Here is a 25,269-nt window from a genome sequence, read left to right as displayed (position 1 = left end):
GATGGATTGTATAACATGCAGACACTAACCATGCGGAACATAGCTAAGTGGGAAATTAAATAATGACAAAGCGCCAATGCTACAGAAAGTGTAATAATCTCAAGTGTGTATCCACCTAATATGAATTTCAAAATACACAAGAAAAAATATTGGCACATTGGAAAAAAAAAGTAAAAGAAATAGAGATATCTAAAACTATAGTTGGAGACTTCAACACTCTTCTCTCAGTAACTGGTAGAGTAAGTAGGTAGCATGTCAGTGGTATTATAGATGGTTATAGATGATCTGAACCATCAGCTCTATCATACAACTTGGTCAAATTGATATTTATAGAAAAGGCCACTCAATAGCAGATACATATTATTTGCAAATCCACAAGAAAGACTAATCATGGTAGATCATATTTTATACCATAAAATAACTCTTAACAAATTTCAAAGATTAAAAATCATGCAAAGTATGCTTGTAAGCCAGAAAACAGTTATACTAGAATAAAAAAGATACCTGAAAAATCTCCAGATATGAAAAATAATATACATTTACATAACTCACGTGTTAAAAAATAAGTCTCAGATATATTTAAAATATGTTCAAATGAATGTAAGTGAAAATACAATATATAAAAATGTATGGATGTGACTAAAGCAGAAAAGAGAAAAATTTCTATCATAAGGCCTGCTGAGAACAAAAGCATGACCTAACTAAAATCTAGCAATCTAAATGTCCTCCATAAGAAGTGGCAAATTAAATACAAAACAAATTGAATGAGGAAATACTAAGTATAAGAGTAGAAATAAAAGTAGAAATAGCAACAATAAATGAAATGAAAAAAGGCAATTATCTGAAAATATCAATGTATTTGGTAAACCTTTTGTCATGCTGATAAAGAAAAGAGTAGAGAATAAAATGTCAATATAAGGAGTGAAAGAAGCTGACAAATATCAATAAGGTAATTATGCCAATACATTTGGCAACTTAGATAAAACAGACCAATTCCTTGACAGACAGAAACTACCAAACCAACTCAAGGAAAAATAGATAATTTTAATAGTCCTACATTTATCAAATACATTGAAATTTTAGTTAAACACCTTCCAAAAAAGAAAACCCTAGGGTCATAATATTTTACTGGTAAATTTTAATAAACACTTGAGCATTTAAGAAAGAAATAATATGAATTCTGCACAATTTCTTTCAGAAAAATCAAAGAATGTAGAAAACTTTTCACATACTCTATGAGTTCAGCATTACCCTAATACCAACAGCAGACACAGATATTACAGAAAAAGGAAACTGTAGACCTTTTTGAACACACACACACACACACACCCCCACTTCCACGCACAAACACAAGCATACACCCTCAAAAGAATCAAATGCAGAATGTAGTGAAAAAACTAAATTGAGGGATGGATAGATAGATGGATGAACAGTAGATTATAGAGATGGAAATAAATAATGCAATCTCACTGAGAGAAGTGGGGTAAAAGATCTGACCTGAGTAATATGGAAAACAGCGTTTGTATTTTAAAATGTAATGTTAATGACAAAATAATTTTATGTGGTGCCAGGCATGGTGACTCATGCCTATAACTCCCAGAACTTCAGGAGGCCAAGGCAGGTGGATCATTTGAGGTTAGGCGTTCAAGGCCAGCATGGCCAAAAATGATGAAACCCTGTAAATGCAAAAAACACAAAAATTAGTTGGGCATGGTGGTGTGCCTCTGTAATCCCAGCTAATTCGGAGGCTGAGGCACAAGAATTGTTTGAACCTGGAGGTGGAGGTTGCAATGAGCCGAAATCACACCACTGCACTCCAGTCTGGGCGACAGAGCAAGACTCCTTCTAACAAGAAAAAAAAAAAAAAAAAAAAAAAAAAAAAAAAAAAAAATATATATATATATATATATATATATATATATATATATATATATATGAACACTGTACTCTAGCTGGAAATATATATATATATATGTGAACACAGTACTCTAGCTGATAAATTCACTTATCACTCGAGTACAGGTTAGCAACTGACACTACTTTTAATTCATATGGCCTCTAATTTCAGTCAAAGTCAAATGAAATGACACCCAGCTTCTTTAGATCTTTAACAAATATGTAAACCAATAATCACATTTTGGCACAAATTAATTTTAAGACATTTCTTGAAAATAGATATTGATTTTGTTTAATAGAGAAGAGGGAGGTACTAGGTAGTTTAATTATAACATGGATGGGTTTCCTCAACTACCCATCAAAGAAACTCCACATATTGATAAATTGATAGGGACTGTGGAACCTTCTCTTTGGCAACAACTGTGGAGGCTGCTAATAAAGTCACTGGTTAATGAACTATTTCTAAAGCATGGTCTCTTATTTTTTTCTTTTTCTCTCTCTTTTTTTTTTTTTTTTTAAGATAGGATCTCACTCTGTCACCCAGGCTGGGACACAGTGGTGCAATCATAGCTCACTGCAACTTCAAAATCCTGGGCTCAAGTGATCATCCTACCTCCCCCTCCTGTGTAGATGGAGCTACAGGTGCATATCAACATGCCCAATTAATTTTTTATTTTTGTAGAGATTGGGTCTTGCTATGTTTCTCAGGCTGGCCTTGAACTCACAGGCTTAAGCAATCCCCCTGGTTAGGCCTCCCACAATTCTCGGATTACAGACATGTAGACATGAGCCTTGGCACCCAGCCATGGTCTCCTATTAAAGCCACTGAGCAAACATGGATAGCATTAAGAGAAATACCTAAGGTAGATGACGGGTTGATGCGTGCAGCAAACCACCACGGCACATGTATACCTACCTATGTAACAAACCTGCACGTTCTACACATGTATCTCAGGACTTAAAGTATAATAATAAAAAATAAATAAATAAATAAAAATAAATTTAAAAAAGAATGACAAATATTTATGTGTTCATTTGATTAAAGACTGACCCTTACTTCTTAGAAATATAGCCTTTTATTAAAATAAAATTGACAAACAGGAAAATAATATTTAAAAATCTAATATTTACTATTGTTTAAAACCAAAGTTATTTGGATTATGACAGATGATGTACAGCAAACAGTGTGAGTAATAGAGCCAAATTACATACATAGAAGTAAAAACATGAGTTTTTTTCTTCATAATTACATCTTTAATTGTATTTATTATAAACCTAGGGCAACAGTTCTTAAATTGCACTTCAAATTTTAAAATATGCAGTACACAGAGTTTATGGTACTATCAAAATCTTTGTTTTATAAGCCTGTTTCCTCTTCTTAAGCCTAAATTGCTTTGATAAGGTTAAACGAAAGATCAATACTTTCTAGGAAGAGCTAACTGATCTTTAACTGAGAGCAGTTCTCCATATTAAATGTTAAAATTGTAGTTCACTTCAATAATAATGTTTTTTATATATATGATGTAGTTTAACTGGAGGAAAAACCAAATAATCAAGAAAGTGTGGAAAAATATGTCTTCCCCTTCAACCAAAAAGAAACAACCTCAGAGTAATAGCTAAGAGAAAACCATACACAAAATGGATTATCTAATACAAGTTAAGTAAAAACATAAGAAACTATTACCTTCTTTAGAAATGTAGATAAGATCATTAGCCTGTGCTTTGACTGTATATCTAAACATAGACTTTATGAACATAGCTGACCATTTCTAGAACTGGATTTTATCTCAGTTTCTTATTTAGTGATTACAATGTATTTATATATATGTATGTGCTTGGTTACAGGTAATGATTTGCAAAAAGAAGTTGCTAATATTTCAATGATGTATAAATGTTACTTTCACCAGGAAATACACAACTAATGAAGAAAACGTGTTATTGGTTCTCACATTCAGAAATTAAATACAGAAATGGAAAGTATGCCATAAATATACAATGTTGTAGAACACGTATTTTTATTATTAGCTAACATAAAATTATATTTTACTATCTTTCATATTGTTAAATCTGCAATAAAGAGAAAGTCAATATTCCTTTTACCACTTGGTTTACTTTTATGTTAGTTTTAATTTTATTGAGATATCCATCTGAAGCAGTGTTAACACTCCAAAAACTCACTTCTGCACGTAAGTAAAAGGTTATGGAGAGATGGAAAGCTAAGAAAAATTTGCGTTTTGGGTTGTTCCAAAGTTTTCACCCTCAAATCTAATATACAGAACAAAAAATAGTTACCCAAACACTGTACCTCTTGGTGGTTCAAATAAATCAGGTTTCTTACTGTGAGTGGGAGGTGGGGAGACTGGATAAAGCATAATACATTAAAATTGGGCTTTTCCATGCATTTAGAAATACATCTCTTTTTACTGCTTTTGATTTTGGATTATCTATTTATTTAAAGGGAAATACAGCCAGAAATATAAAAATATTAATATACTTTACTGCTTTGTTTTATATACTTTGGGGCTGCTTTGTATATTAAACAAAGTATATTTGTTTAATATACTTTGGGGCTGCTTTGCTTTTTTAATCTCTTAGAGAACCGAAATACAGGTTGCATAGATTAAGTAAATAAATAAAATAAAAAATACATACTTGTGGCAGGTCTATATGCATTAAATTTGTTCCTTTCAAAAAATACATCTAAACAACTGAAGTTTCAAACAAATTTTTAGTGATTAGTCACTTCCTATATAGAAATATTGTTGCTTTCTATTTTCAAGAAGACCATAGTAAATACATAGAAAGAAGCCAATCGTTATAGGACAATTTTTATTTGACTGCTTTATTATGAGTGTATAGACTTTATTAGATAGAAATTTCTGTTAGCTGTGAGTTGCAGAGAGCAGAAAAAACATTATTTGAACAAATTAGGCTATATATATATTTTTCCTCGAAGGTGTGATGGCTTTATAATATCATAAGAAACCGAAGTTTCTCTTTCTGCTGTCCCATTCTTAGCGCGTTTCCTAAAGGTTCTGTTAGCCGCTGTAGCAGGATGGCAAAAAATAGATCATGGCTGAAATATGATACAAGTAAAAGTATCATTTATCAGAACAATAATATGAGATTTTTGGATGACTCTCACTCAACGGGTGACCCAGAGGATGGGATCTTTCTTCTTAGACTTGTCATCTTCAGCTTTAGACACAGATGTGGCATGCCTCATCTGGGCTCACATTCTGTTGGTTAGAACTATGCCTAATTCTAGTTAGAAAGAAGGAGATTGGGAAGGAAGGCAAAAGGCACACGGCAGCTGAGTGACTGCCTTGATACAATTCATTGGAAGGCCCTCTCAGTAACTGCTCCATATACTTTGGTCAAATGTGGTTGATTTTAAAACCACCATTTTTAAGGAGGCTGAGAAAAATATTTTTTGTCTTTTTGGTTGTTTGCTTTTTTATTTTATTTTTGGCTGAGCACATTTTCAACCCAAATATAACTGAACTTTGCATAATCAGAAAAAGGAAAAAAGATGGATGTTCATTAAACAACCAAGAGCTGTGCCCAAAACCACATCCACAGGACTGATTGTGCTACAGACAACCACAGCCTGTAAAATTGGATGTATTCTTCTTTATTGCTATTGATGTCATCAGTACTTTATTATATCTCAGAGCAGTAATTTCTACTTTATATTCAAGAACAGTCAATCATTATCTGACTTTCTAATATACAGTTTAATTATTATTACAACCTTCCACTCACTTGTAATGGCAGAAAAAGAGCTACTGATCTTCAAATAGGAAAATGAAGACATTTATGTTCCAGAAAATTTATTTGAAAAATTACAGCCTTCTTTATTGATATATACAAAATGAATATATCAACTAGTTATGACTCTCAATACACCTCCATAATAAGCCTTGCATAGGATGTAAGTACTTTAAAATAGCAATAACATAGCATAAAGAATATACAAAAGTTGTAGAGTCTCATTGTTATCAAGTTAGGTATTATAAGAGAAGACATAAGCTGGTAAATTAATGACCCATTCTTATGAAATTCCTAAGTCTTTCAGGCTTCTGATATTCCTCTCCAACAATAATCCATCTGGTCACCTATATCTGGAGATATCCACATGTCTTTCAATGGCCATAATTTGAATGTGTCGAGTGTGTCCATAGGAGCTGATTTGTCATTGAGTTACAGTTTGCATCTGTTCACCCAGCATCCTATTCAAGTAGCATACAGCCCTATTTTCACTTTTAAAAGTATCTCTGGTAGAATAATAATTTTAATGGCCACCCAGATATAAATCATGGACAGAGTCATGTGCTCACATAGGTTCTTTGGGAATAGGCTCTGTGGTTTTGAGATTCTCTGTTCTCTTGATTCCCACTGCAGTACCAGGTAACTAAACTATAAGGCAGATATAATCACAAATGAATCTCCTAAAACTCTTAGTACTAATAACAAAAATAATATTAGTTACCTCCATCAAGTAAGCATATCCATAACAGTTCAACTGGGTTACAGTGTTTTGTAATCCATGAGTCTGCAAAGTCAGCATTAACCCAGCCTAGAGCAAGGATTCCTAAATTTTCGTATAAATATAAATAACTCTGGAATTTTTTAAAATCTAGATTCTGATTCATTATGCCTGGGATGAGAATTGAGATTCTGCATTTCTAGCAAGAGTCTACTTGATATAGATGAGCTCATAAACAGATGACATACTGGCCTAGTCTATTCCAAGGTAATTAATTTGGGTTCCAAAAAATCAGGTGGTGTTACTTATCAAAATTAAATAGCCATACTAGTGTGTTCTTTGAATTCAGGTGTTTTGTTTTGGTACATAAAAGATGAGAGGTAAGTTGAGTTGAGCAAATGTTAGGTAGCTGAAACAAAAGATACTTATGTTCTCACAATTCTGGAGGATAGATCCCAAGATCAAGGTTTTAGTCGAGTTGGTTTTTCTGAGGGTTATCTCTTTGGCTTATATAGATAGGCTTCTTCTTTCTGTGTCTTCTGTATATGTGTCTGTGTCCTAAACTCCTCTTCTTATAAGGATATCAGTCATACTGGATTAGGACCCACCCTAACAACTTCTTTTAATTTATTTACTTCTTTAAAAACTCTGTCTCTAAATGCATTCATATTCTAATTACTGGCAATCAGGACTTCAACATATAAATTTGGAAGTAGACACAATTGGGTCCATAACAAGAGTATTATGTAACTTTTTTGCACATACAAAGTCAAGCACAATTTTTTCTTTTGAGTAGTCTTCTGAAGAGTATGGAAATGTTTATAATAATTTTAAAAATTCAAGGGTTAATATTTTTAATTACCTCATAACAGCACATTTTCTTCAGGTTTTGATTTTTTCAGTGCAAAATTATTAAATAAATGTTAGTATTTTCTTTAGGTTGAAGCTTAGACTGAAGACAGAATACTCATTGGGATAAAATCTATATGAGGTTGATATCAGATAGGGCCAATTGTGTTGTAGTAGAAAGAGTGGAATTTTTAACCAAACTGCTCTGTTATTTAATAAATGGTCATAGGGAATTATTAAGACAGCATACATATGATAAAGTGTAGTAGGTATATTTTAAGATGTGGGAAAGACTGAAGGAAATATTATACAATAGAAAGAGGATGAGCTTTGTCTTTATAGCTGTGTAAATATGGGCAACTCGTTTCACTTTTTTAAACTACTGTAACCCTTTGTGTAAAATGAAGATTACAAAGCTTAAATTGAATAAATTTTACACGTGTGTTTATGTAATTGTCCTTATATATAATAAAGTCTCAAATATTAGTGTCAAATTATGACTTTTGTGGTAGAAACTCATCCTATTTTCTACCATTATAAGATTTAGACATTTTTCAAATTATATGTATATGATGACTGCAAAAAAAAATTCCACAAAAATCATGATGAAAAATAGCAAATTAAATATACAGGCAGAGTAAGATTCTAGCCAAAGTCCATACCTCCACCATGTATAAAAACTTATAAATAATTACCTGAAGCCTAATGTTATTTTTATGTTCATTCATAATCAAGGATGTTTTACATTTTCTGCTTCCAAGGGCAGGTTGGTGAAGCAGAAATCAAAGAAAAGGGGTGTAAGGGAAACAACTGCACTTTAGTCAGGAGTAGGCCAAGGCAGCCTTCCACCACAGCATGACTCAGTGGGTTTAGAGCGCAGGTGCACAACTCCACAGATTATGTAACCACGCCACATGAGGCCCATTAGGTGATCACCCACATGAGTTCCTGCTTGGCTCAGAGCCACTATTATCTGGAAAAGGTATAATTACCCCGGCAACGCTGTACATATGGCTCACTCATGCCCACAGCTCATGCACAGGCTTGCTTGCACCCAGAGAGAGAGTAAAGCCATGTGAAAACTGTCTACGATTCCTTGAGTGTTTTTCCAGCTACCTGCCACTCACCCACCCACTCCCCTCGGACCTCAGTTAGAACCTGACAATTGGCGTTACAAACAAGATCCCGAGATGCGTGAGCCTTCAGTCCCTGCTGATTCCGGGTCAGCCATGTGGCCACAACATGGGTTATGGTACCCCATGGCAGGTCTGCTGCTCAGATGGGCTCCGATGGAAACCTGGGGGTGATAGATGGGTCCCTTGTGAGCATGGAGAAGGCACTGAAGCAGTTGGAAGCACAGAACACTGAGAAGGAGTGAGCTTTTGCCAGCAGAGTTGGATGGGCATTTTTCACTGCACTATGAGAAGTACACACACAGTCCCTGAGGGAGGCAGTTATGGTAAGGGCTCTCCAGGCACAGATAGGGTGCCTGGAGGCCTGGCAACATAGTTCAGAAAAGGAATTAGAGGCTGCTGTGAATGCAGGTTTGGGTCCGTCCTCTTGGCTGGAGACCTGTGTTTGGTCTAATACTGAAAAGGATGAACCCCCATTGCGGGCTCACCCAATGGTCCATCAGAAGGTAGATCATCAATAGCTGTTGTGGCCCCAAGGGCAGGCTCAGGGACCCCCACACTGTAATACAACATACTTCATATACTTCCTATGCCCCAACTGAGTTGCAGGAATTAGGCAAGCAGTGCTGCCAGCATACAGGGGAACTTCTGCCCACCTGGATGCTTCTTTTGTGGGATGAGGGAGCGGATAAATATCTCTTGTCCTGCCTCTGAAATGGAAAAGCTGGCCTCTATCACAACTCACCCCTCTCTCCATCAGCAATTGCAGGTGAGCAGGCGGTTGACACAAAGGAAAGGTGACCACACCCTGAATGAGTGGCTATGGGCAGCCATATGGATTGTGTGGAACAACGCTGGTGAAACACCCGCAACCATGAGTAAATGGCAGTTTTATGCAGATTTGGTGCAAGCCATCCGGGAGATGGGTATGAGGCAGGCTATGATTGATCTGAACACCAGGAGGCCAGATGATGAACATTTCACCTCCCACACGAGGAATCTTGTGTTGGGTTCTGTGCCCGAGTGCCTTTGGCTCACTAGATGCTGTCCTACTCATGCATAGGGTGCCACATATGTGAAGTAACCACTGCTGTGGAGGCTCTCTGGGAAGCAGAAGGCCATGAATGGGACCAAGGGGTCCACACCATAAAGAAGGGGATGATACCCCATCCACAAGTGTGCCCCCATGGGAGAAAAAGGGGCCCCAACAAGTGACATGCTTACAGATGTGGATAGATTTGATTTTGGCCAGGGTTGACTGACAGAAAATTGATAAGCAGCCTAATGAAGTACTCTTAATTTTGTGGAGACAGTTGTTTCCAGAGCTGCAATTCCAGAAAATGCCCAAGGGAAAGAACGACATTGCTGCGCAACCCAGTACCCCCTGGGCATTTCAGCTCAAAGACTGCTTGCTGCAGCCAGGTGGAAATGTAGAGCTTTTTCTGTTTGAGTAGGGAACTGGAAGAGGTGCCTGTCTTGGGGGGACATTGGATGACCAGAGGCCAGATGTGGAATTAGCAATCCACCGATCCCTCACCAATGTACAGTGGGTGATGGCCCTAGTGGATACTGGTGCAGATTGCAGCCTTGTTTATGGGAACCTGGATAAGTTCCATAGTACAAGCTAAGTGAACACATTAAGGACTGGAAATCTCTGAATTTAACTTAATTTGGCTAATTTATATTTCGTAATATGAAAATGAGAGCTTTTGCTAAAATAAAGGGGGAATTACATAGAAATACAAAATATTAAGCTTCCTGTTAGGGCTATGTTAAAAACTAATGTCAGAGATTTTCACACCTGAGTTGATTTGACTGCAACACTTTTACTTACTAGATCTTGGAGTCAACTTTCAGATTATGTTTAATGAAATGTAATCTTTATTACTTTGTTTGGGCTACAATAACAAAATACTACAGTCTGGGTGGCTTAAACAACAGAAATTTGTTTTCTCATAGTCTGGAAGCTAGATGTCCAAGGTCAAGGTGCCCTCAGAGTTCATTTCCAGTAAGGCGTCTTTTCGTGGCCTGCCTGTACATGACCATTTTCTCATCGTGTCTTCATGCGGGATTTTCGTGTGTGCAAGCACAGAAAACTCTCTGATATCCTTTTATCTTCTTATAAAGAAACTAGTCCTATTAAATTAGGTCTCCATCGGCATAACTAGTTTAACCTTAATTACCACTTTAAGGGCCATATATCCAAATACAGTTACATTCGGGGTTAAAGTTTCAAAATATAAATTTGAGGAAACACCATTTAGTCTAAACCAATACTCCCAAGACTTTAAAAGTAGATTCTAAAAAGTAAAAGTCCCCTAATAATGGTTTTCCCAGAATCAACTACTGTAAAGATTTAGTTATACTCTGTATTGAGATTCATGGTACATTAAAGCATCAGCAAGTCAAGATAATTTACTCACTTATAATATTTTAAGTGTAGACATAATATAAATATAATACTACTTCCTTGAGAATTTCAAATAAGTTAAACTTCTTTCACAGATAGAATGATCATTCTTACAAAATATAAATGGTAGATTACATCTACATTTGTTTCATTAGAAATAATTAAGATGAATAATTTATAACATATGCTGCTGTTTCATTCACTCCAACCAGTTCTCTGCTTTGAGGTATTTCTACCATTTTGTTCCTAGTGAACAGCTCTTAGAAATAACTATGTCTTTCTTTTTTAAGTTGTATTTAGTAACTTGTAAACAACATAAAAAACATGGTTACAAAGTCTGACAAGTTCCAAGATCTGCAGCCTAAAGTCTTGAAAACCAGGAGAGCCAAGTGTGAGATCTCCTGTCCAAAAGCAGGAGATCAATGTCCCAGCTTGAAGATCATCAGAGAGAGTGAGTACTTTCTGGCTCAGCCTTCTGTTCTATTGAGGTCTTCAAGAGACTGTATGAGAACTGAACAATTTAGAGAAGGCAATGTGCTTTGTTCAGTCTGCCAACTTAAATGTTAATCTCATCCGGACACACATTCACAGACATACCCAGGATAATGTTTTAAAAAGTATCTGGACACTCTGTGGCTTAGTCAGGTTGACATATTACAATTAACCATCATGACATATAATAGAAAATAATGTATAATACAACTTGCTTATTGGAAATGAAATGAAAGAAATAGCATTATGATTTGGGGACTTAAAATAGAGTTATGTAAATTAAGATGAATGGAAGCCACAATATAGACAATGCACAGATTTATCAATTAATGATTCAGAAAGTCTATTCCAATTGTGTACCATATTTTTAAGCAGGAAAGATATTTGAATTAATGGGCAAAGGTGTTATAAATGAGAATTAAAGCCATTATATATTGAAACACATTTCTTGAAGTAAAATCTGTTGTACAATTGAATCAACATAAGGAGCTCCAGTCAATCAGAGGAAAGATTATTAAGCTATTTCCTATAACTATGATAATTTTTCTAACAGCCAATCAATAATGATTAAGTAAATATTATATACATCTTATTATTCAGATGATGAGAGAATTGCAGCATATATAGTAATCATGTGTTCAGAGTATACATACCAATGAAGAGAAAAAAAACATTAGAAACAAAGTATGGTATTGCTTAGAACATATTTTATATTTAACTATATTATCAGTTCATAAGGTTAATACAATAATATTGTTGAAAATTGAAATTAGAAGACAGTGTTGATTTTAAAAAACCAGGAAATTGGTATCAACCTTTTGGGCAAATCTGTACACTCAAGTTTGGGACAGTAATTTTATGGTACATTAAAAATAAGGAAAATGCAGCACATATTCTATCTGACTAAATCTTATAAATAAACCCCTGTAAATTATATATTTTTGGTTGAAATTTAGATTGATTATGAGATCTTAAAATATACCTATTATTAACAGTTAGAAAGGCATGATTCTATGATACAAAGGTCATTTTATTCTTAGAGTTTATTCTAAGAACAAACAGTGATCATTCTGGTAGCATAAGTAGGCTAGAGTAATGCTCTATTTGACAAATATGTTACCTCCTTCAAAATACAGGTCTTTAAGAAATAAAGTAGTTACATCACTGATATTTATCATAATGCAGTTATGGTCACTGAATAATGGCCCTCCAAATATGTCCTTGTCTTAATCATTGTAAGCTGTGAATATGTTACCTTACCATGGCAAAAGGAATTTTGCAAATGTGACTAATTACAGGTTTTGAGATTAGCAGATTATCCTGGGTTATACCAGGGGGACCTAAATGTAAGCACAAGCGACCTTGGTCAAATGAAGGAGAAGGTAATGCGACAGTGGAAATAGAGATTACAGTAATGGGGCCAGAAGCCAAACAATACACTCTTCTAGAAGCTGGAAGAGTCAAAGGACAGATTCTCCTCCAGAATGAACCAGCCCTACCAACAGTTTGAGATGAGCTTCTTAAAACTCATTTTGGACTTCTGACCTCCAGAATGGTAATATAATAAATTTAAGCCACTAAGTTTGTGATGTATTTCTTACGGCACCAATAGAAAACTAATACCGCAAAGGATATGCTTTTATATTTGTTTGATAATTGGTTAATTGTAACGAATTTAATTTGCCCTTAAGGAAACCTCTGGCACAACATAAGTGAAATATTACTGACAAATTCATATGACTAACTAATACAAAATAGTGTTAAAAATAATGGTTTTGCTGATTCAGTAAGCAGTAGTTAAACCATTCACCTCAGCACACAACTCCAGGGACACCATTTACATTTTGCTCTGTAAAAGCAATGCCTCTTGAAGGGTGCTAATGCAACGTCCTTAGCAGAAACTCATCATCCTACTTTATCCACTTGGCAAATATAATGTTTTATACTTCTCAATTTCTTGTATCGAATTTTGTATCTGTAGTGTCATACCAACTGCAAGTACCAGTAAATCGAATTTACCTTGGATTAGATAATAAGAATAGTTTGACCTATAACAAGTCAAAAGACAGTGACTCAATATGTCATCAAGAACTCTGATTCTTGCTTTCTCTCCTTCCTGCTATCCTCAGTGACAGTGATGTCCTAAAGCTAGTTCATCTTGTCATCATAATATGGTTATCAATAAAATAGACTATATTTTCCATTTTTCATAAACTGCATAGAAGAGATTGAGGCTGTCACATACTAATACAATAGAAGCCTTTCCTTTGAGTCTGATTGAGTCAATTTAGTTTACACTCAAACTCTTGAAACAAAGACTATTCCTATAAGCTAAGTCATGTATTGTGTTTGAATTAAGCCATGGTTCCTCAATCAAATACTAGAAAAATGGGATCACCAGGGCTATGATAGTCTTATCTACTCTACTCCTGGGATTTTCGCCTCTGAGCCATATGGGCCCCTCAGAGGAAAAATGATTAATTTCTCTACACTTGTATAATGTTAGGAAGGCAACGAAAGGAAGAGTATATGTTGAAAACAACTGTGAAATAAATTGAAACAGATTTATTCAGAAGGCCTTTTCTTATCTCCTCACCACTACTCAGTCACATAGAACTGAGAATAATTTATCCTCCTTAAATTCTAAGTAATACCTTCATCCATGACCTTATGCATGCATAAACTCAAGCTTCCTCTTTTGCAGTGCAAATCACTTTGCATGTGCATTGACATCAGACCCTTATCACATTACCCTATAAGAACCTGGAGCAAGTCTCAGGATACAAAATCAATGTACAAAAATCACAAGCATTCTTATACACCAATAACAGACAAACAGAGAGCCAAATCATGAGTGAACTCCCATCCAAAATTGCTTCAAAGAGAATAAAATACCTAGGAATCCAACTTACAAGGGATGTGAAGGACCTCTTCAAGAACTACAAACCACTCCTCAACAAAATAAAAGAGGACACAAACAAAGGAAGAACATTCCATGCTCATGGATAGGAAGACTCAATATTGTGAAAATGGCCATACTGCCTAAGGTAATTTATAGATTCAATGCCATCCCCATGAAGCTACCAATGACTTTCTTCACAGAATTGGAAAAAACTACTTTAAAGTTCATATGGAACCAAAAAAGAACCCGCATTGCCAAGTCAATCCTAAGGCAAAAGAACAAAACTGGAGGCATCACGCTACCTGACTTCACACTATACTACCAGGCTAAAGTAACCAAAACAGCATGGTACTGGTACCAAAACAGAGATATAGACCAAAGGAACAGAACAGAGCCCTCAGAAATAATACCACACATCTGCAACCATCTGATCTTTGACAAACCTGACAAAAACAAGAAATGGGGAAACTATTCCCTATTTAATAAATGGTGCTGGGAAAACTGGCTAGCCACAAGTAGAAAGCCGAAACTGGATCCCTTCCTTACACCTTATACAAAAATTAATTCAAGATGGAATAAAGACTTAAATGTTAGACCTAAAACCATGAAAACCCCAGAAGAACACCTAGGCAATACCATTTACGACATAGGCATGGGCAAGGATTTCATGTCTAAAACACCAAAAACAATGGCAACAAAAGCCAAAATTGACAAATGGCATCTAATTAAACTAAAGAGCTTCTGCACAGCAAAAGAAACTACCATTAGAGTGAACAGGCAACCTACAGAGTGGGAGAAAATTGTTGGAATTTACTCATCTGACAAAGGACTAATATCCAGAATCTACAAAGAACTGAAACAAACTTACAAGAAAAAAACAAACAACCCCATCAAAAAGTGGGCAAAGGATATGAACAGACACTTCTCAAAAGAAGACATTTATGTGGCCAACAGACACATGAAAAAATGCTCATCATCACTGGCCATCAGAGAAATGCAAATCAAAACCACAATAAGATACCATCTCACACCAGTTAGAATGGCAATCATTAAAAAGTCAGGAAACAACAGGTGCTGGAGAGGATGTGGAGAAACAGAAACACTTTTACACCGTTGGTGGGACTGTAAACTAGTTCAATCATTGTGGAAGTCAGTGTGGTGATCCCTCAAGGATCTAGAACTAGAAATACCATTTGACCCAGCCATCCCATTACTGGGTATATACCCAAAGGATTATAAATCATGCTGCTCTAAAGACACATGCACACGTATGTTTATTGCAGCACTATTCACAACAGCAAAGACTTGGAACCAACCCAAATGTCCATGAACCATAGACTGGATTAAGAAAATGTGGCTCATATACACCATGGAATAGTATGCAGCCATAAAAAAAGATGAGTTCATGTCCTTTGTAGGGACATGGATGAAGCTGGAAACCATCATTCTCAGCAAACTATCACAAGGACATAAAAACCAAACACCACATGTTCTCACTCATAGGTGGGAACTGAACAATGAGAACACTTGGACACAGGAAGGGGAATATCACACACTGGGGCCTGTCATGTGATGGGGAGATGGGGGAGGGATAGCATTAGGAGACATACCTAATGTAAATGACGATTTAACGGGTGCAGCGCACCAACATGGCACATGTATACGTATGTAACAAACCTGCACGTTGTGCACATGTACCCTAGAACTTAAAGTATAAAAAAAAAAAAAAAAAAAAACTTGTCATAAAATCCTGAATTTACTAGTGTTAAAAGAAAAACATTAGACAAATTAAATTTAACAGAGTTCAATTGAGCAAAGAAGAATTTGTGAATTGGGCAGCCCTCAGATCCTGAAGAGTTTCAGAGAGCTCTGCTCCACGATATAGGCAGCATTTATGGACAGAAAACAGAAGTGAGGTACAGAAACAGCTTGATTGGTTACAGTTAGATGTTTGCTATAATCAGTTACAGTTAGATGTAGCCTGTGATTAGCTGAAGCTTGGCTGCTGTGATTTGCTGAGACTTACCTATCTGTTATAAAATATGACACTCCTAAAATTAGTCTTTCAGTTTGTTTACATATTAAGTTAGGTGGCAGTTTGTTATGTAAGAACCCAAGGTATGGAGGCATCATGAAGTCAAATGTAATTTTACACTACTTGCTGTGTAACTCTGATCAAATTACTTGCCTAAGCCTCAGTTTGTTTATACATAAAATGAACGTCTATCTTGTAGGATAGTTGTATATATTTAGTAGATTAGACCTATCAAGTACTGTTACAGTACTTGGCCCATTGAAAGCATGCATAAATGGTAGTACTGTTATTACAAATACTCTATATAATTTTAATGTTGTGATGTTTACCCAATATTTCTCAAATCACTATGCACTTTTTGCACATTTCTGAATTTCAAATACGGGAAAAAGTAGGAAGAACTATAAAAATAAATATATTATATTTTATTAAATCATGGCATTAAATAACCAATTGTAACTTTAATACAACATTCTCCTCAAATCCTCATGTTATGAAGTTGTAGATGAGAAATTGATGAGAGAGCAGAGCTATATTTAGATCATAGCCTATGAGCTTATTCTCTTTCCTACTTGACATTTTTATGCATTGTGACAAATTTTTCTGTCTTTTTGTTATAAAATCAGAGAAGAAGAAATATGGTTTTTGATAGGAATGTGTCAATGCTAACAGTTTCTTATGTGTTATAAAATTCTGTTTTCTACTCTCCTTCTCAACAAGGAGAAAACATTTTTGAGATAACACACAATAACAAGTCTAGAAAATAAAATCTTACTATATAAATATAAAAGTTTTATTATTTTTGCTTTTGTAAAAATCATATAATGTATTCTCACTTAGTAATGAACTTTTTGTTTTCTAGCTATAAATCCAATTCTGTTTAATAACTCATTATTTTTTCCTTTTATGAAGAAAACACAATTTTTTTCAACAGCAAACGTTGTTGCAACAAATTCCCTCGCCAGTATTTCCCTATGCTCTATTTCTAAAAAGTAGATAGCAAAGAGTGCAACTGATAGGACAAATAATTCATTTTAATTGTTCCTTTCTGACTACTCTATTGATAAGTAAAATACATATTCTCTTTCACCAAGTATGGATATGAAAGACTGCTCTTACCACAAAATTCAAATGAAGAGTTTATTATTGTTTTCTTATTTCTTGACTTATGCCTTTGGGAATCACTTCTCAAATGCATGGGTTATTGAGGATTTCCCTTTCTTTCTTTTGACATTTGAACACTATTTGTATTCTGTTGTCTTTTTCTATACTGATTTATGGAATCTCAGTGCTTATGAGTTTTCAGTTTTTTATCAGATATGTTTATTCATTGTTCTTTGTATGTGTTTGGTTTTTTCACTTTAAATTTTTTAATGTAACAAATATACATCTAATTTTCATTTTTGACTTTCACAATTTTTACTATTTTTTAGGTAATGTTACTCCAAATTTATAAAAATACACTCTTTAATGTTACATTTTTTATTTTCTTATTTAATTTTTATTATTATTGCATCTGGAATTATTATTTCTATGTGCATTAATGTGGGGAAACACATGTATTTTCTCCCAGATCATATTAAAATGCATCAAAATATCAACATTATCGTATATGTATTTTTCATATAAATTTGTTCATCAGAGAAATACAGTATTGAGATTAAAGTGACTTTACAGGAGGTTTTACTGTTTGACAGGTATGTTCTCCCATCATTATTATTATTCTGCAGTATTTTTTCATGGTATCTCTGCTTCTGCTCTGTATTAAATAAATAATTGAGAACTCAGCGATGTTCATTGGCGGCTTATTGCATGCTAGGTGCTTTCCTTTCCCACTGCAGATATGGCAATAGCTAAGACAGACAAGGGTAATGAACAGGAAGCTGAAATAGATCCACTCAGTGTTAGTAGCATCACTTTAACTGTATCACATAGATGCTGATAGGTTTGATCTTTCATGTGGTTTTGTACAAATGATGCAATTTTATTTTTTATTTCCACTTTGACCAAGGGATTTTTAATAGGAATTGAAGTATTTTTTTCTGTTGAAGAGTTTTTTTTCCATTGTTGTTGCCATTAACATCTATTCTTACTCTACTGCATTAAGAAAAGGTTGTTCTATCTTCTTTAAAAATTAAAGTTGCATTTGTGACTTAATATGTGATTAGGTTTTCTAAATGCACAGTAGCACTTCAAAAGTAGGTATATTTTTATTGTGGTTTTAGTATTTTGCATAGATTTACTAATAAAGTAAACATTTTCAGATCTTCTGTTAGCCTACTAAGTTTTGTCCAATTTATCACTCCAGATATGAGAGACATGTGAATTCTGACTGGCTGTACCACTTGTAATATTTTCATTTTTAATTCTAAGTGCTCTTTTCTGAGGTTGCTGGAAACATTAACCTATCATTTCCTTATTTTGTGTGTCCTCATTTTCTGGCGTATCCTCATTTTCTATTGGAATGTTACTTAGTTCATTTTTGTCTTTTCAAAATATTAATTTTAAGTGGGTTAGATTGTATTCTTTGCTTTCCATGGATTAACCTGAAAGATTTTTTAGGCTTGTTGGTGAACATTCTTATGTGCTATCGCAGTTTCTGGTTTCATAGTTTGAAAACTGTTGCTACTCTGCTACCCAGAAAGCACTCTAAATATGACCCCTCTATATAACTACTCTCCCTCAAAGTCAAATCTGATTAAGAACATTTGAAAATTTCAAGATGGAATCTAAGTCTTTCAAGCCCCTCCATATTAGCTACCTGAAGCTCTTTTCTCTATTACCCTCCGTATTTCTATGGGTACAATTTGGTTTCTGTAAGCAGTGTTTTATTCCTGAGGGTGAAACTCTGAAAGAACCATTTGCTGAATATTTCTTGTTAGGCCTATGTAGTCTCTTTCTTTCTGGTGATCTTATATCCATATGCAGTTTTGCCACATTCACCCACAGTTTTCAGCCAATAAGGATTACTCTCACATCTATCTCCTCATGTTTCTTCAATGGCTATGTCTTCTTGGTCTTCTTATTTGGGGATGTGAGGTTGGCGACAAGGTTTTGATTTATGTAGAGTCAGCTGATATGTATTAATACATTTTAATTCACTTTTATTTACAATTTATTTTTGTCTCTGACATCAACAGAAAGACAAAATCTCCAAGGCAGAATATTACCATACAAGGTCTGAGTTAGATTTATAGCTGTTCTAATATTATTTCCTAAGTGTCAATAAAACAGTAACTAGTCCAAATAGCATACAAACATCATAAATGGTTTTGGTTCAGTAACCTCAAGCATTCTATACTTGAAAAGTGTATAAATCAAAATCTATGAGGTTAAATGTGATAAAAATGTCAAAAATGGATTATGGTGATGATTTGCTTTTCTCTACAACATGTTAATGAATGCAAACACACAGAACTAAACCTACATACCCTTTAAAATAAGACAGAAGCATGTTCCATATGTAATAAATTCACAGCATTACATGACTGACTGGCATCCATAAACCCCACCTGTCTATTATTAAAGAGTTTAATGGCATTTTGAAGCCAAAGAGTGTCAAAACTAATACCAGCCCGAGTTGTAAAAATTTCTGAATATAAATGAAGAGAGAATGATGTTATATATAGATTCTAAAATGAATTATTATAGACATTATAAAGATATGTGTCATTTTAGATTTGCTGGATAAGAATAAAGAATATTGATGTTATGAGAATACAAAAAAATGTTCAAAACTTGAAGATAAACTGAAATGCATAGTGTAGGTTATTTGATAATTAGCAGTATAATATGTCAAAATGTTTCATGGCTATTTGTTCCCTTCTCAATTAGAACCTGTAACTAATAAGCATTTTTTTAAACTGCTCCTTACAGAGCAGGGCTACCCTACAGAGTAGCCTAAGTTTTTGTTTATGGCTGGTAGATGATTATAATCACAGCAAAACATACTAACCCAGTTTATTTTGATAAAACACATTGATTTAATATCAACAAACAAATTTGTTTTTCCTTCGCACTAATCCTAGGAAGAGATAAGAATAATTTGAGAAACACAATCTGTCAAACTTAAGTTTATTCAATCCAATCACTCAGTGAACACATTTAGGGTACAGAAATCTATGTATGGTCCTGTGAAGGATGCAGACACAAGTAACTGACCACCCATTTTCTTAATGTAAAGATAGCCAAAGGATAATTTCAGCATCTCCAAAATAATTAAGCAAAATAAACTAAAAGCAATGTATTTTATAGCAAGAGAGTATTGTTTTTCTTTTTAATTTTAGTGCTGCCTTGTTTTTAACAACAAGCCTACAGAGTAAAACACAAACTTTACACAGTATTTCAAAAAGTTCATAGCTACTATGATCTTGGAACATTGCCATTTTGAAAAATGAGGCTAGAGTACTACAGCAAATATTTTCTGAATAGTAAAAAATACATATAATTATGCAAAAAATATCAGGAGATAATCATCAAGGGGTAATTTTGTGCTGGGGTGATTAATGTTATGATATAAACAATGCGTCCTGACTCTGATATAAATACTACCCATTAAAAATCTCTGCCCTGGTATTGGAAACTGATAACCGATACTGCCCTTTTTTTTTGGAGACTGAGGTTCCTTCTGTTGCCCAGGCTGGAGTGCAATGGCACGATCTCAGCTCACTGAAACCTCTGCCTCTCAGGTTCAAGCGACTCTCCTGCCTCAGCCTCCTGAGTAGCTGGGATTATAGGCGTTCTCCGCCATGCCTAGCTAATTTTTGTATTTTTAGTGGAGACAAGGTTTCACCATATTGATCATGTTGGTCTCAGGGTCCAGCCGAGACCTGCCTTGGCCTCCCAAAGTACTGGGATTACAGGTGTGAGCAACCACATCGGGCTTAGAAACTGATACTGCTATTAATTGGAACAGCTGTATCAGAGGATAGGGAAAGACAGCAGAAGATGATTATAACATGGATGAAAAATGAATTCCAATATCAAATGGGAGAGACAGTAATGCAAACAATAGCAGGTCAATTACATATTGATATAAACTTCTGAATAGGAGGATCTTCTGAATAGGAGGATCAAAAGGGCAGAATCAAAGAAAACTCTTAATATAAATTTTTAGTCACCAGCATTTTTTATCAATATTACTCTATTAATATGTAATAGTTAGATATTTATTGTGATAAAATTAAAGAGAATAAGGTAGCAATTACGAATAAAGTAGCTATTGTTAGTTTTTATAGAGTTTTCATTATCCAATGAAATGATATACAGACTTCAATAATATAATCATTCTTTAATTTTGAACTAGTAAGTGTACAATTTTTGCTAATGTTTCAAGTATAGTAACTAGTAGACATAATTTTACTGGTATTGATTGATAATTGCTGTTTGTCAATTGATAACTGTAAATTTATGTACCAGCTGCCATGAGCTACTAAATAGCTTACTATCATTATCTCTCTTTTTATTCCAGATGGTAGATAAAGATAAACCATACTGTAAACTATCCATAAATAAAATATATTTATTGACAACATAAGTATACTGAAGTCAGAATTCGACCTGATAAGTTATTTTAAAAGCAAAAAATTCAAGAGTTCATCACGTCTATTTTTTTGTTACCTTAGGGGTTATAAATAAATGTGTCTTTTTAAGCTATATAACACTGTGACATCAAAGGTCTTTTTAATCACAATACCCAGATAAAGTTTATGATGATGCTGTAGAGATTTTTAATTAGGAGAATTTACATAGATGGAAATTATGTATGCCCTTAAAGGGCAAACATTTAATAAGAGTATATAAAAGTGTTATTAAAATACATAACTGTAATGAGAAGTTTCATTTAAGGGTCATTTAGCAGGTGTTAGCCCCCTTGTGTTTTTCCCTACGTTGATTAACTCTGATAATTTTAAGATGTAGCTGCATCAAGAGTTTCCAATATTTATGCTAAAATAATGTTACCAACTAAATTTTCTAAATTTTTCTAAATTTTCAAAAATGAACATGACATGGCTAGAGAATCATAGCATGAGCTGGGTTTTTAACATTTACTGCTGATTTTCTAATTATGCCACTGGAATTTTATTAGAGTTGAATTTTAAACTGTGACGTTTCTGAAATGTCATCTTGTATGAACAAACAGATATTAGTGTGTCTATCTATGTGTCTGTGCATATGATGTATGGACACACACATGCACCTAAACACACTGACAAAAACACAAGACCTCAGGATCAAGGATCAAACCATTTATTTACTCACAAAGCAGCTTTCATGCCTCTGTATGTCTCACTTCCTGACATGGTTATATATTGAGGGCCAGAACGTACAATGGGGCTTGTACAACAGGAGGACAACAAAATTTTGAATCTTGGAAATTGTCTAAGACAGTTGGCAAAGCAGTCAGTCCATCTTCCCTGCCTTAGAGAGGAAGGGAGGGAGATTAAACTTTGCTCTGGAATATAGATGAAACCTATCTGAGGGGAGGGGAAGGTTTCTATTTTGGCCACCTCTAAAATTTAAACAAATTGCTTAGGGGAAGATGTTTCTATGTCTTCAAGGGTGGCAATTCAATTATACTTTAACTCAGGTTGTCATTTTTTCATTTAAGAGAAAACTGACTAAGCAGACATGAGGATATTTTCATGAGCATTATTTCCTAACAGGTCTACTCCTCAATTCTGTGTGGTCTAAATTCCGGCATATTTTCCATCAGTGTACCACTGAATTGGCCATTCTGATGAATATGAAAGAATGACAGGGCTAGAAACACATCTATTCAGTTTGTCTTATATGGCACTTAACACGATTATCAGTAGGACTCAGGGAAGCAGGGTGAAACCAACCTGCAGTATTTATTTCAGCTCCAAAATTCAGCCAGCTGAATAAATCTTGTAAACCATCAATGAATCTTAGGAAACCAGGTAGCTTTCTCTTTAAATTTCTGTATAGATCTTTCCATCTAGCCAAGGCATTAAGCCAGATGCACTAGTGATTGCACAGATGCAACCTTGGCTTGCAAGAAAAAGTCTAAGGTACTGACAAATTTTGAACTATATTTTCATTTATTTATTTTTTGAGACAGAGTCTTGCTCTGTCACCCAAGCTGTAGTGCAGCAGCACCATTTTGGCTCACCGTAACCTCTGCCTCCCAGGTTCAAGTGATTCTTGTGCCTCATCCTTTTGAGTAGCTGGGATTACAGGCATATGCCACCACATCCCAGCTGATTTTTGTATTTTTTGTAGAGACGGGTTTTCACTATGTTGGTCAGGCTGGTCTCAAACCTCTGGCCTCAAGTGATCCACCTGCCTTGGCCTCCCAAAGTGCTGGGTTTACAGGTGCGAGCCACAGCGTCTGGCCTAAACTTTGTAAATGGAATGACTCCCTTGTGGGTAAAATTGTTACCATAATATGTATGAATAATAAGCCAGTTTTACCTCTAGGAAATTCTCCCAGGTAACTGAGTATATCCTCATTTTGAAGAGATCTTCACAGTCAACTGAGGGCTACCTGGTTTACTAGTGGTATTTAAAAAAATAGTTAAATGTATATTATAACCACTCCTATGTGCAAATCACAGTGTTTTTCTGAGTGAGAAAAATCAATACATGCATTTCACACAAGTACAATGCTGAAGCAAATACAGTTCCCCTGGAAACAATTATTGGGGCCTCCCAAATGAAACATACAACAGTCAGATGGCGCAAGTTCCCAGTGATCTGTAGTACCCCACTGGAGCTTCCTGCAGGACTGTCCATCTTCCACAAGATGGTAAGCCTTAGATATTCTTATTCAGTGTAAATGATAGAATTCAGTCACGGGTTTCAGAGGGACTGCTTCAGGGTAGTCAGTTCAATCTGCCCTGCTTGTCCATGACACAATTCACGAACCCCTCAGAATGACTGAGAATAGAGGTGAAGGCAACATCTAGAGGTGCTTTTAACCTAAGGTGTAGGAGCTGGGACCATCACCGACTGACTCATGGTCAGAATTATCTGGTGAGGGATGGCAGACTCGGGCTTTAAGATACTTGCAACTGTATCGGGGAGCAATACTAGAGTATTTTCCTTCTGGAGAAAAGCTCCCGGGGCAATTCTGAAACAATGAATATTAATGCTCCTTTTGTCTGTACCTTTTAGTATTTACAGAGTTGTCTCCTCATGTGTCGGGATTTTTTTTTTTCTTTCTTCACTTTCACAAAATTAGTCTGTCCTATTTCAGTAAACACAAATTTCCATTTTCCCCAGTCATCTGCCGTCACTCAGACATCATCTAGAAATTATATGAAAATGCTATTGTCCCTCTTGCAGTAGATCTTTCTGGTGCAAAGTCTGACTTGTAGATCTTTCTGGTGCAAGAAGGACAAACACATTTTCATCTAATTCAGCCAGAATCAAGAGTAAATCATCTAGGTCTACTTTTGTGCAAGTTACAGTCAAGAGAGTCTGCTACCCAGGCTGATGTGGGGGTGCAGTCCAGAGAAAGAATGATGCATTATGCCCAGGAATAGAAAGGGCAGAATTCTGAAATTTCAAAATATAATCCCTAAAGTTCCCCACTCCTTTCATCCTGATTATCCTCTAGGCAACAGAATAGAGGAGATAATCCCTTTCTTAGTATGACTGCATTTACAAAACTAACAAACCAACCAATCAACTGACAACAGCAAACTGCCAAACTAAGTTCTGTGGATCAGAAGATGAAGGAAGTAAAGTCAGTCTATCAGCTTGTTGTTGTATAAATTCTACCATGAAAGGCACTTCCTTATCAAACAGCAAATGGTCCACAAAGCCAAATATATGACACAAATTATCCTCAAGGACCATGTGACAGAGGCAGCTAATTAGTAAGACTGGAGAGCAGGTAGAAATCCTGAATTTGTAAATTTGCCAGAGGATACTGGGGCCACAGTCTATGTAGTAAGTCCTCCATAACCTAGAGATGAAGGGGGCATCCCTGGAACAAGTCATAGTCTGACTTGCAGTTGATTTCCTCTGCCTCGGAAACATACAATACTCAGGCAGTAGTGTGATTTCAGGTGTTCTCATCAGAGAACAGACCAT

At 35.1% G+C, this 25,269-nt stretch overlaps 1 long non-coding RNA gene across 17 annotated transcripts in view; it reads right to left on the bottom strand.

Annotated features, from left to right (window-relative positions):
* The window catches only part of LINC02377 (long intergenic non-protein coding RNA 2377), a 338,568-nt gene that overhangs the window by 125,379 nt on the left and 187,920 nt on the right, over positions 1-25,269 (bottom strand). For 13 of the 17 annotated variants that reach the window (NR_183935.1, NR_183927.1, NR_183924.1 and 10 more), the window contains one exon: positions 1,124-1,676. The exons of the other annotated variants lie outside the window; for them this stretch is intronic. This is a non-coding gene — a long non-coding RNA (long intergenic non-protein coding RNA 2377). Of the gene's footprint in view, positions 1-1,123; positions 1,677-25,269 lie in introns of those variants that run through there. 17 annotated transcript variants of the gene reach the window in all.

Source organism: Homo sapiens, chromosome 4, assembly GCF_000001405.40.
Source record: "Homo sapiens chromosome 4, GRCh38.p14 Primary Assembly".
Classification (NCBI taxonomy): domain Eukaryota; kingdom Metazoa; phylum Chordata; class Mammalia; order Primates; family Hominidae; genus Homo; species Homo sapiens.
The sequence above is the reverse complement of the archived record's forward strand: the minus strand, read 5'-3'. Positions and strand labels throughout refer to the sequence as shown.